Genomic DNA, 12,241 nt, shown 5'->3' with positions numbered 1-12,241 from the left:
TCGGGAGGCTGAGGCAGGAGAATGGCGTGAATCTGGGAGGCGGAGCTTGCAGTAAGCCAAGATCGTGCCACTGCACTCTAGCCTGGGCAACAGAGCAAGACTCCGTCTCAAAGAAAGAAAAAAAAAAGATTTTTATAAATAAAAGACCTTAAAGGGTAATAGATTTAGTGTCTTTCATTCAGTGTTAAACTATATTTTTTCCTTTATTTTTAGATTTTATTCATCACATTAATGACACAGACACTATACTGAGTACCAATAATAGCAACCCTGGTAAGTAGTTTGGGATGTTGTTTGTTTCTTTACTCTCCACCTTGCTCCAAAAAGGATTTAAGGTAGAACATGTGACCTTATTTTAGGTAAACGATTAGTAGAAAATTATTATGTTTACTGAGCTGCTACTAAATTGTTGGTAGTGTGTTTAAAAAAAAAAGAACCTCCAAAAAGGCTGTGTTAATGTAACCAAGCAATAGGTTGTATTAATGTGAGCTAGGCAACATTTAGTTCATATTATACAATTCACAATTTTATCTACAGTATCCATATTTGCCTGTGAATAATCAGTATTTTCAAGAATCTATATCACTATTAATTATATCAGATGTCTAGAAGCATAGTTCTCAGTTTAACTTAGTTTTAGAGGTCTATTGTTTTAGTTATTAATATATATGCTATACAAATTTGTAACCTGTAAAAGAATTCATTTTCTAGTAATAAACAGAGGTTAGTAACTAAATATGGAAAAATAAATTGAAGCTTTTTCAATTTATTTATTAATACAACCAAGCAATAGGTTGTATTAATGTGAGCTAGGCAACATTTAGTTCATATTATACAATTCACAATTTTATCTACAGTATCCATATTTGCCTGTGAATAATCAGTATTTTCAAGAACCTATATCACTATTAATTATATCAGATGTCTAGAAGCATAGTTCTCAGTTTAACTTAGTTTTAGAGATCTATTGTTTTAGTTATTAATATATAGGCTATACAAATTTGTAACCTGTAAAAGAAATTAATTTCTTAGAAATTTTTCTTTATTTTTAAAAAATAAACCCTTGTGAGCCAATGAGTTTAATCCAGTATGGCCGTTACAGGGAAAGTGAATATAAACATTAATATAACTTTGGTAACAGTTATGCTGTTAAACTTGAACATCACCTAAAGCTTTATGTATTTAGATTTCAGGGATACTAAACTGATGTCATGTTGATGGAGATGCACATTGATCACTAAGAGGATGATTCATTAAACACATTTATTAAGCCTACTATGTGTCAGGAACTGTTCTAGGCTCTAGGGATATAATAATGAACAGACAAAAGTCCCTCCTCTCATGAAGTTTACATTCCAGTGTTTGCTACTCAGTGTCTTACTTTTCCCCCTAATTAAACCTGTCTTTTGTTAATGCTAGAAAATGAGTGAGTAAAGTACTAGCTTTTATTCCTGTGGACACATACACATATACCTTTGAATTATTATCCTAAAATCTCTTGTGCCCTATTCCTTACTTCAGAATTTTCAAAGGATCAAATAACATCCTTGTATTTAAAGAGAAAATTATTTTACTATACCTATTCTGATATTAATTGATGAAACTAGTTTACTAATATCTAAAGTTAATAGTACTTCTCCAGTAGGGAGTCAGTTCATCATTAGGGTAATAAATATTAATATCACAGTCACATTGATGATTTAGAGAACCCCATCAGCAAAGTCAGTTTATATAGTGATATCTTATATCCAGCACTTCTTGATTTCTCTGCTAATGTTTATTTTGAACAGTGTAGTAAACAATGAGAGTATGAAACAATCCATTTCAGTTAGTGTAAAAAATTTTAGCTGCTGAGCATGGTGGCTCACGCTTTTGATTCTAACACTTTGGGAGGCCGAGGCAGGAGGATTGCTTGAGCCCAGGAGTTTGAGATCAGCCTGGGCAACATAGCAAGACCCTGTCTCTACAAAAAAAAATTTTTAATTAGCTGGCCATAGTGGCGTGCACCTGTAGTCCGAGCTACTCGGGAGGCTGAGGCAAGAGGATCACTTGAGCCTGAGGGGTTGAGGCTACAGTGAGCCATAGTTACGCCACTGCCCTCCAGCCTGAGTGAGTGAGATCCTGTCTCAAAAAAAAAATTACAGCTAACATTTATTGAATGTTAACATTTATTGAATGCCTGTGTGCAGGCATTGCATTAAATGTTTTATAGCAACCTTAAATGGTAGATACTGTCAACACCATTTTCCAGGTGAAGAGACCAGGGAACATAGAAGTTAATTTCATCCAAGGACACCTAAATATTAAGTGGCAGAGTTGGGATTCATTATTCAGTCAATTAACTTCCATCCACAGCCTGTGCTCTTTTTTTTTTTTTTATTTGAGACAAGATCTCTCTCTGCTGCCTAGGCTGGCCTATAGTGGCAATGATCATAGCTCACTGCAACCTGGTACTTCTGGGTTTCAGCAATCCTCCCACCTCCACCTCCCGAGTAGCTGGAACTACATCCCATCCAGCAAAATTTTGTTATTCTTTTAGAGACAGGGTTGCCATGTTTTCTAGGCTAGTCTCAAACTCTTGGCCTCAAGTGATCCTCCTGCCCCAGCCTCCCAAAGTGCTGGGATTAAAGGAATGAGCCACTGCGCCCAGCTGCCATAGCCTGTGCTTTTAACCACTATAATTAGCACAAGAAAATTTCTGTCTAGAGCGTAGAAGAAAAAAAGCACACTAAAATGTTGACTAAGAAGGAGAAAGAAAATTAAATGTTTGGCTTTGTGGCATGCCAAATAATGGATAGAGAATAAAATTAAAAATAGAACTGACAATGAATATTCTTTCTCTTTGACAAATGATGAGCATAAGGGTTACTTAATACGAGTATTTTCTACCTGCATTAAGAGTTCTTTACGAAAAGCTGATTATTAGCAAAAGCTCTACTGTGACATTAGAAACAATGAGAATGGCTGGTACTCTGTCTGATAACAGAAGAAATTGCCACTTGTAGATCAGTATTTAAGAAACATACGTTTAGGCCCAGTGCGGTGGCTCAGGCCTATAATCCCAGCACTTTGGGAGGCCAAGGCGGGCAGATCACGAGGTCAAGAGTTCGTGACCAGCCTGGCCAGCATGGTGAAACCCCGTCTCTACTAAAAATACAAAAATTAGCCGGGCATGGTGGCATGCGCCTGTAATCCTAGCTACTCAGGAGGCTGAGGTAGGAGAATCACTTGACCCCAGGAGGCAGAGGTTGCAGTGAGCCGAGATCGCACCACTGCACTCCAGCCTGGGTGACAGAGCGAGACTCCATCTCAAAAAAAAAAAAGAAACATACATTTTACTGATTTCCCAGTCATCTGGATACCATCTGGACTCTTAGGCTTCTATCAAATATGATCAACTTCCAGAATTATTTTGGATTGTTGGGATTCAAGATTCTTGCATTTTTATCAGTGATTATGATATCATGGCAGCTGTTTCAATGATGTTTGCTTTTTATTCCAAACCCATAGATTTTGTTTGTTGTTAAAAGAAATCTGCTCTTTGGCCTTTTTATGGGTTATTCGTGTGATAAACAGTCACCCTAAATGATATTTTTTATATTATTGTGTAAATAAGACCAAATACCATCCAGCCCAGTATTTTCTCTCTGGCAATGGAACCAAGGGATATTTGGTGGGATATTTTTATAGTTTCCAGTAGAGTTTAAAGATAATATCTCAGGGCTGGGCGCAGTAGCTCACGCCTGTAATGCCAGCACTTTGAGAAGCCAAGGTGGGTGGATCACCTCAGGTCAGGAGTTTGAGACCAGCCTGACCAACATGGTAAAATGCCCTCTCTACTAAAAATACAAAAATTAGCTGGGCATGGTGATGTGTGCCTGTAGTTCCAGCTACTTGGGAGGCTGCAACAAGAGAATCGCTTGAATCCAGGAGGCGGAGGTTGCAGTGAGCCGAGATCACGCCACTGGACTCCAGCCTGGGCGACAGAGCGAGACTCTGTCTCAGAAAATAAATAAATAAAAATAATGATAATATCTCAGAAATTTTAAAGATTCCCTCACCCTTATTTATTTTTAGGTGAAAGAGTCCTAATATTCCTAAAATTAACCCTCTATTTTTTCCAGAAAAGAGAAATTTAGGCTCCTAGGAAGAGTTGAGGTTGGTAGAGCAAGTGTCTGTCTCTAGAGGCAGTCATTTTCTGTTTTTTGTTTTGTTTTGTTTTGTTTTTTGTCATCTTCTTTAATCTGGTGCTTTCCTATTGCAGTGATTTGTCCAAGTGCCGGGAGTGGAGGCCATCCTGACAACAGCTCTATGATTTTCTATGCCAATGACACAGGAGCCCAACAGTTTGAAAAGTGGTGGGATAAGTCCAGGACAGTCCCCTTTTATCTTGTAGGGCTCCTCCTCCCACTGCTCAATTTCAAGTCTCCTTCATTTTTTTCAAAATTTAATATCCTAGGTAAGTAGTAGCACTGAATTATGGAGACTTTGTGTAATAGAATACGTGGTGGAGTCTAGGGAAATATGGTCTGATTGGGGAGTTACCTTCCAAGCCTGTTCATCTGTGTTTAATTTGTTCATTCGTTTTTGTTTTGTTCTTTCTTTCTTTCTTTTTTTTTTTTTTTTTTTTGAGACGGAGTTTCACTGTTGTTGCCCAGGGTGGAGTGCAATGGCTCAATCTTGGCTCACTGCAACCTCTGCTTCCGGGGTTCAAGCAATTCTTGGCCTCAGCCTCCCAAGTAGCTGGGATTACAGGTATGCGCCACCACACCCAGCTAATTTTGTATTTTTGGTAGAGGTGGGATTTCACCATGTTGTCCAGGCTGGTCTCAAACCCCTGACCTTAGGTGATCGACCTGCCTCAGCCTCCCAAAGTGCTGGGATTACAGGTGTGAGCCAGCACGCCCGGCAATTTGTTCATTCTTATGATAACCTGATTTTTTCTATTTTTTTTTATGGAGTTTGGCATGGAGAAAAGTGTAGATGACCATTTTTGGTTTTGTTGTGTGTGTGTGTTTTTTTTTTTTGAGACATGAATTATTTGGTTTCTCATTCTAAACTTACTGAACAATTCTTCCTCATTTTCTCTGAGGATACAACTAGACGAAATACACGAAAATTTCAGGAGGAGAGATCCAAATTGGATATTATAGGAATTCTTGATTCTAACGGTTGGAAACAGAACTTACTAAGGAAAGTTATAGAATGTTTTTTCCTACAGTCTCTAAGAGTATTGTGCAGAATTGTCACCTGACTTTGAACCTGGGAAATCATTCTCTATCTCAGGCTTCGTAGGTTTATTTTGCTTTTGCTCTCTTCCTCAGTGCTTTTTTTTCTTAGAACGCTATTGCCTTCTTCAAGGAACAGACCTCTTTCTGTGAGCCCTGCTTTTCAGAAACCACTAAACGAATGTTTTTACTCCACTTAAGATGGCAAAAGGGGCCAGGTGTGGTGGCTCACGCCTGTATTCCCAACACTTTGGGAGGCTGACGCAGGTGGATCACGAGGTCAGGAGTTCAAGACCAGCTTGGCCAAGATGGTGAAACCCTGTCTCTACTAAAAATAGAAAAATTAGCCGGGCGTGGTGGCTGGTGCCTGTAATCCCAGCTACTTGGGAGGCTGAGGCAGAGAATTGCTTGAACCTGGGAGGTGGAGGTTGCAGTGAGCCAAGATTATGCCACTGCACTCCAGCCTGGGTGACAGAATGAGACTCTGTCTTAAAAAAAAAAAAAAAAAAAAGATGGCAAAAGGAACCCCCCCAGTGAAAGTTCAGATCTGGCTAACCAAGGACAAGGATATCATTCATAAGGAATCGATAACTCCACATAAACCATACGATTTCACTTCCTCCCTGTGGATGTGATCTCTGGCAGGCAGTCTAGAGCATAAAATAGATAGGCTGGGTGCGGTGGCTCACGCCTGTAATCCCAGCACTTTGGGAAGCTGAGGCAGGCAGATCACCTGAGGTCAGGAGTTCGAGACCAAACTGACCAACATGGAGCAACCCTGTCTCTACTAAAAATACAAAATTAGCCAGGCATGGTGGCGCATGCCTGTAATCCCAGCTACTCGGGAGGCTGAGGCAGGAGAACTGCTTAAACCCAGGAGGCGGAGGTTGCAGTGAGCCGAGATCATGCCATTGCACTCCAGCGTGGGCAACAAGAGCGAAAACTCTGTCTCAACAAATAAATAAATAAATAACCCAGCATATCAAGGAACAAGGCAGTGGCTTCTAGGTTTCCAGAAGACCAAAGGAAAAGTTAAAATTATTTCTCTTTGCCTGTCTGCCTCAGGAACAGGATTCACTGTAAGCTGCCATAGACACACAGAAGATGAAGAGTTGTGGTTATATAAGCTCTGGCGTCCTGTTTTCATCCTTTCTGAATCAGCTAATCTCCAAACCCACAGTACTGCTTATATCGCTCATTCGTGGTTTCCTGATTTGCTTGCCAACTTTTCTGTGAAACAGATCTTTTAAAAGAATATAAACTTATAGAAGGATTTGCTCAATTGGGCACAACAATCACCAGACTTCCAACCAGGTTGATTGTTCATTCTTCAGCTCCTTAAGGATATTCTGCTTTTGTTCTTTTCCTTGGTACTTTCCCTTTCTCTTAAAACCATAGCTTCATTAGAGGAATTAGCATCTAAGGCCTTCCTGAATTTTCTGACTCTACTCCATAATGACTAGACTTAATTTCTTAAAAGGAATAATCTTCTACCTTCTACACTACTAAAATATTCTGAATGCCCATTTTACCTTGTATATAATACCTGAGAATGGAGTCTGGAATCTCTGTCTAGCAAGTAGTGCTACCCAGTCAAAACCTCATCTAGATACTAGATCAGGATTGTTCATGTATTTGGCTTCTCACCTTTCTCAAATATGCTTTTGATCCACATTCACTGCTTTTCTTTCTTTACCCTCTTACCATCTCACATTAAATACTGTGACAGACTGACTCTAACACTTCCAATTCAAAGAATAAAAGTAAGTTTCATGTTGTTTTTTTCAATCCTATGTAATCCTATAATTTTGTAATGGACTCTCTGCTTGTATCTTCTGCTTAAACTCAACTCATAAGTAAATGAAGCAGTTTTGCATTCAGCATTGTATGAGCTACCTTCATCTGATTCTTCTTTTCTTATTCTTTTTTTTTTCCTTTGAGATGGAGTCTCGCTCTGTTGCCCAGGCTGGAGTGCAGTGGTGCAATCTTGGCTCACTGCAAACTCTGCTTCCCGAATTCAAGTGATTCTCCTGTCTCAGCCTCCCGAGTAGCTGTGATTATAGGCGTGTGCCACCACACCTGGCTAACTTTTGTATTTTTAGTAGAGATGAAGTTTCGCCATGTTGGCCGGTTTGGTCTCGAACTCCTGACCTCAGGTGGTCTGCCCACCTCAGCCTCCCAAAGTGCTGGGATTACAGGTGTGAGCCACCATGCCCAGCTCATCTGGTTCTTCTTAGGCCTACTACATAGAGTGTTTTGTTTTTTTTCTGGTAACTCCCTCAGCTTGTTTCTAGTCTTTAGATCCCAGCTGGGTGTTAGTGGAGATAATCAATGCAGTTAACAGTTTCCCACACTTTGCTGAGACTATGGAAACAATGCTTGATTTTAAAATAATCTGTAAAACACACAAAGATAATAAATGGTTTCTGAATTTTTTCCTCACAGGCACAGTGTCTGTCCTTTATTTGATTTTCCTTGTCACCTTTAAGGCTGTTCGCTTGGGATTTCATTTGGAATTTCATTGGTTTATACCAACAGAATTTTTTGTACCAGGTGAGCTTTTTGGCAAAATAATAAATTATAATAATGTGATCTTAACCATTGTCATATGCTATTCTAAAACAAGTAATGATTTTTTTTTTATGCTGAGCATTTTTATAAATGCTATTAAGTTAAAAACAGGACTACAGTTGAGATTATTTTGGATTTCCTGCAGTTAGTGGTAACCAGGGCCCTTTGTCATTTCTACTTGTTAGTTGAAATTCATTTAAGTTATAGTGCACTAATACTTGAATTTTCTGTGTTTTTCATCTAGCCTTTCTTATGGGTATATAATGTGCTATTACATTGTGGTTTTGTGGTTTTTAATTAAACATTTTTATTGACATATAATAGTTGTACATATTTGGGGGGAACATATGATATTTTAATACCTCTATGCAATGTGTAGTGCTCAAATCAGGGTAATTGGGATATCCATCACCTCAAACATTTATCTTTTTGTTGGGAACGTACAATGTGGTTTTAATTTGCATTTCTGTAATGATCAGTGGAGTTAGCAACTTTTCATATGTTTGTTGGCCATTTGGATTTCATCTTTTCTGAAGTGCTTCTTCTGTTTTTCTATTTAACTGTCTGTTTTTTTCATACTGATTTATAGGAGTTCTTTACACATTCCAAATATGAATCCTTTCTCAAATACATGTAATGCAATTATCTTCTTCCTGCTTACATCCTTTCTTGATATGCCTTTTCAAAGGAATAAAGTAAGCAGTTTGAAAATGATGAGAAGTTTGGAGCTTCTTTAAAACCATTTTGTGAAGGAGTCTGTTATTTAATGTATTATGTAATAATCATGGTGTAAATGTCTATGTTCTTTAAAAAAGTGTATTTTCCACACAAAAACTTGTACATGCATGTTTATAGCAGCATTATTCATAATAGCCAAAAATAGAAACAGCCCAATGTCTATCAATAACAAATGGATAAATAAAATGTGGTATATCTTTCTTTTTTCTTTTGAGACAGAGTCTCACTGTGTCACCCAGGCTCGAGTGCAGTGGCACAGTCTCAACTCACTGCACCTTCCCCCTCCCAGGTTCAAGTGATTCTCCTGCCTCAGCCTCCTGAGTAGCTGGGATTACAGGCACGCACCACCATGCCCGGCTAATTTTGTATTTTTAGTAGAGACAGGGTTTCACCATGTTGGCCAGGCTGGTCTCAAACTCCTGACCTCAGGTGATCCACCTGCCTCAGCCTCCCAAAGTGCTGGGATTACAGGTGTGAGCCACCACACCCGGCCAAAATGTGGTATATCTGTACAATGGGATATTATTTGGCAATAGAAAAGGAATGAAGTGCTGTGGTTATGGTTGTACAACTCTGTGAATATGCTATTCAGTTAAAAACTAGTTGTACACTTCAAGTAGGTGAAACATGAATTTTATTTCAATAGTGCTATTAAAAAGAATCTCAGGTTTTCAAGAAATTTTCTCAAAAAGATAGCTTTTGTTAGTTAATGGGAAAAAGCTGACTATTTACCCACTGTAATATGACAAGTTAGAAACCTAACAGTGGTCTTACTTGCCTTAATTAGAAAAGATAGAAAAGGATTAGCTAACAAATTGCTTTACAGGGTATCTTAACTAAGTAACAGAATTGATTACTCTGAGAGACAGGAAATTCAGCTAAATTGAAAAGAACGTGTTGAAAACTAATAGATCTTATTTTATTTAGATTTGTTTATTTTATTTTAGAGCTAGTGCTTGATTCTTGTTTTCTCTTCTTTTCCTAAAATAATATAGCAGAGTCAGTGGACTTTTTATACGTTTCTACTTTTTACACTAAGGAATCCTCTGAGATGGGTTTGGCTAGACCAGCAGTATTTTCAAGTAAATCATGGTTTTATTCTACATAAAATCATTTTTTTTCTTTCTATTAGCAGTCAAAACAGAAATTGGCAGTGCTTTTGCAATGTTATTTTATTCTCACTTTAAAGCAGCTTTGTGTTTATTGCAGAACATTTAGAGATTATAGGTAAGTGGTTAATTTAAAATAAATTGCAAAAAAAAATAAAAAATAAAATAAAATAAAATAAATTGCATAACCTGACATAACCACTATTTATATTTTTGTGGATACCCCCTCACCAGTCTTTTTTCTTTGCATACACACATCTATATACACACATATATTTTAAAAATAAAAGTAGGCCAGGCACAATGGCTCATGTCTGTAATCCCAGCACTTTGGGAGGCTGTGGTGGGAGGATTACTTGAGTTCAAGACCAGCCTGGACAACATGGTGAGACCCTGTTTCTACAAAAAAATAATTCTTTTAAACTTAGCTGGGTGTGGTGGCATGCACCTATAATCCTAGTTACCAGGGAAGCTGAGATAGGAATATCACTTGAGCCCAGAAAGTTGGGGCTGTAGTCAGCTGTGTTTGTGCCACTGCATTCCAGCCTGGGTGACAGAGTGAGACCCTATCTCAAAAAGAATAAAACAATAAAAAGTAAAATCACAGTATGTATGCTATTTCAATCATAGGGAAAAAAAGAAACTGCCTCCACAACATAATTTTTGATACCATATACCACTGCACAACTGTATCTCAATTTAATGAATCCTCTGTAGGTGGACACTTATTTCTAATATTTTTACATTATGTTTTTTAGATTTGTCAGTGAAGAAAGTTAAATGACCAGTTTGCCCTTTCATAATTCCTTTTCTAGAGGTACTTTTCTGGCAAATTCAGGTATTAAAAAAATGAAGGACTTTAAAGTCAGACAGACCCTAAATTTGAATCCTGCCCTTCTCCATACCAGTTGTATGACCTCAAATAGGAATAATTGATATAAAGCACCTGCACAGAGTATACTTTTTTTTTTGAGATGGAGTCTCGCTCTTTCACCCAGGCTGCAGTGTAATGGTGTGATCTCGGCTTACTACAACCTCTGCCTTCTAGGTTCAAGCGATTCCCCTGCCTCAGCCTCCCAAGTAGCGGGGATTACAGGCTTCCACCACCACGCTAATTTTTGTATTTTTAGTAAAGACAAGGTTTCGCCATGTTGGCCAGGCTGGTCTCAAACTCCTTACCTCAGGTGATCCGCCCACCTTGGCCTCCCAAAATGTTAGGATTACAGGTGTGAGCCACCACACTCAGCCAGAGCATACCTTTTTTTCCCCCTTTTGAGTGCTTCGCCCAAGTATAATGCTGGCCTCGAGGAACTTTGTAAAGACATTTTAATATTCTTATTCCCTGGATAAAACAGTGACAACTGATTTTTAGTAGTCAACTTTTGGCTACCAATACTCATTTTCTAATTGTCAGTTTTAATGTTCTTGTTTTTATTTTTCTCCTAGAGATAAGATTTCAGTTTCCACAGCTGACTGGAGTGCTTACCCTTGCTTTTTTTATTCATAATTGTATCATCACACTCTTGAAGAACAACAAGAAACAAGAAAACAATGTGAGTAATTATCTTTGGAATTGACTTTTGTATCTCCCGAGGATAAATTTTTTAAGTCAGTATTTGAGGCACTTTATATTTAGAGTACAATTAGGCAATTTTGTTACAAGATCTTAATTTTTAAACTTAAACCATAGAGCAGTCGTCAGCAAATTTTTCTGTAAAGGTTCAGATGATAAATATTTCAGGCCTTGTAGGCCTTATGGTTTTTGTTGCAGCTCCCCAACTGTGCTGTTATGTTATGAAAGCAGCCATAGATAATACATAAACAAATGGGTGATGGCATTGTTTCAATGAAACTGTTTACAAAAACAGACATCAGACAAGATTTGGCCCATGAGTCATAGTTTGCCAGTGCCTGCCATAGAGCAACCACTGAAAAAATAGAGGTATGGCTAATAAGCCATTAATGGTGGTAAAATCTTTTAAAGATACCCTGGGCGTGGTGGCTCAGGCCTGTAATACCAGCACTTTGGGAGTCCGAGGCAGGAAGATCACTTGAGCCCAGGAATTCGAGACCAGCCTGGGCAACATGGTTAGACCCTGTCTCTACAAAGAAAATTAGCCTGGTTTGGTAGCACATGCCTATAGTCCCAGCTACTTGGGAGGCTGAGGCAGCAGGATTGCTTAAGCCCAGGAAGCCAAGGCTGTGGTGAACTGTGTTCATGCCACTGCACTCTAGCCCGGTCAACAGAGCAAAACCCCATCTTAAAAAATAAATGCGGCTGATAAAAAATGATGAGTTCATGTCCTTTGTAGGGACATGGATGAAATTGGAAATCACCGTTCTCAGTAAACTATCGCAAGGACAAAAAACCAAACACCGCATGTTCTCACTCATAGATGGGAATTGAACAATGAGAACACATGGACACAGGAAGGGGAACATCACACTCTGGGGACTGTTGTGGGGTGGGGGGAGTGGGGAGGGATAGCATTAGGAGATATACCTAATGCTAAATGATGAGTTAATGGGTGCAGCACACCAGCATGGCACATGTATACATATGTAACTAATCTGCATATTGTGCACATGTACCCT

General features: G+C 38.6%; 1 protein-coding gene across 47 annotated transcripts in view; it reads left to right on the top strand.

Moving 5' to 3' along the window:
- SLC38A9 (solute carrier family 38 member 9) overlaps positions 1 to 12,241 on the top strand; it is an 86,491-nt gene that overhangs the window by 55,348 nt on the left and 18,902 nt on the right. For 26 of the 47 annotated variants that reach the window (NR_146165.1, NR_047649.1, XR_007058583.1 and 23 more), the window contains 4 exons: positions 214 to 273; positions 4,265 to 4,459; positions 7,674 to 7,781; positions 11,093 to 11,199. Coding sequence is in view for 43 of the 47 variants with exons in the window: in NM_001282429.1 (NP_001269358.1) it covers positions 214 to 273; positions 4,265 to 4,459; positions 7,674 to 7,781; positions 11,093 to 11,199 (470 nt within the window). In the remaining 4 variants the exon portion in view is untranslated. The remainder of the gene's footprint in view (positions 1 to 213; positions 274 to 4,264; positions 4,460 to 7,673; positions 7,782 to 11,092; positions 11,200 to 12,241) is intronic. The other 21 variants (XM_047416796.1, XM_017009081.2, NM_001349385.1 and 18 more) reach the window with 3 other exon arrangements.

This window comes from Homo sapiens, chromosome 5, assembly GCF_000001405.40.
Source record: "Homo sapiens chromosome 5, GRCh38.p14 Primary Assembly".
In the NCBI taxonomy this organism is placed as follows: domain Eukaryota; kingdom Metazoa; phylum Chordata; class Mammalia; order Primates; family Hominidae; genus Homo; species Homo sapiens.
The sequence above is the reverse complement of the archived record's forward strand: the minus strand, read 5'-3'. Positions and strand labels throughout refer to the sequence as shown.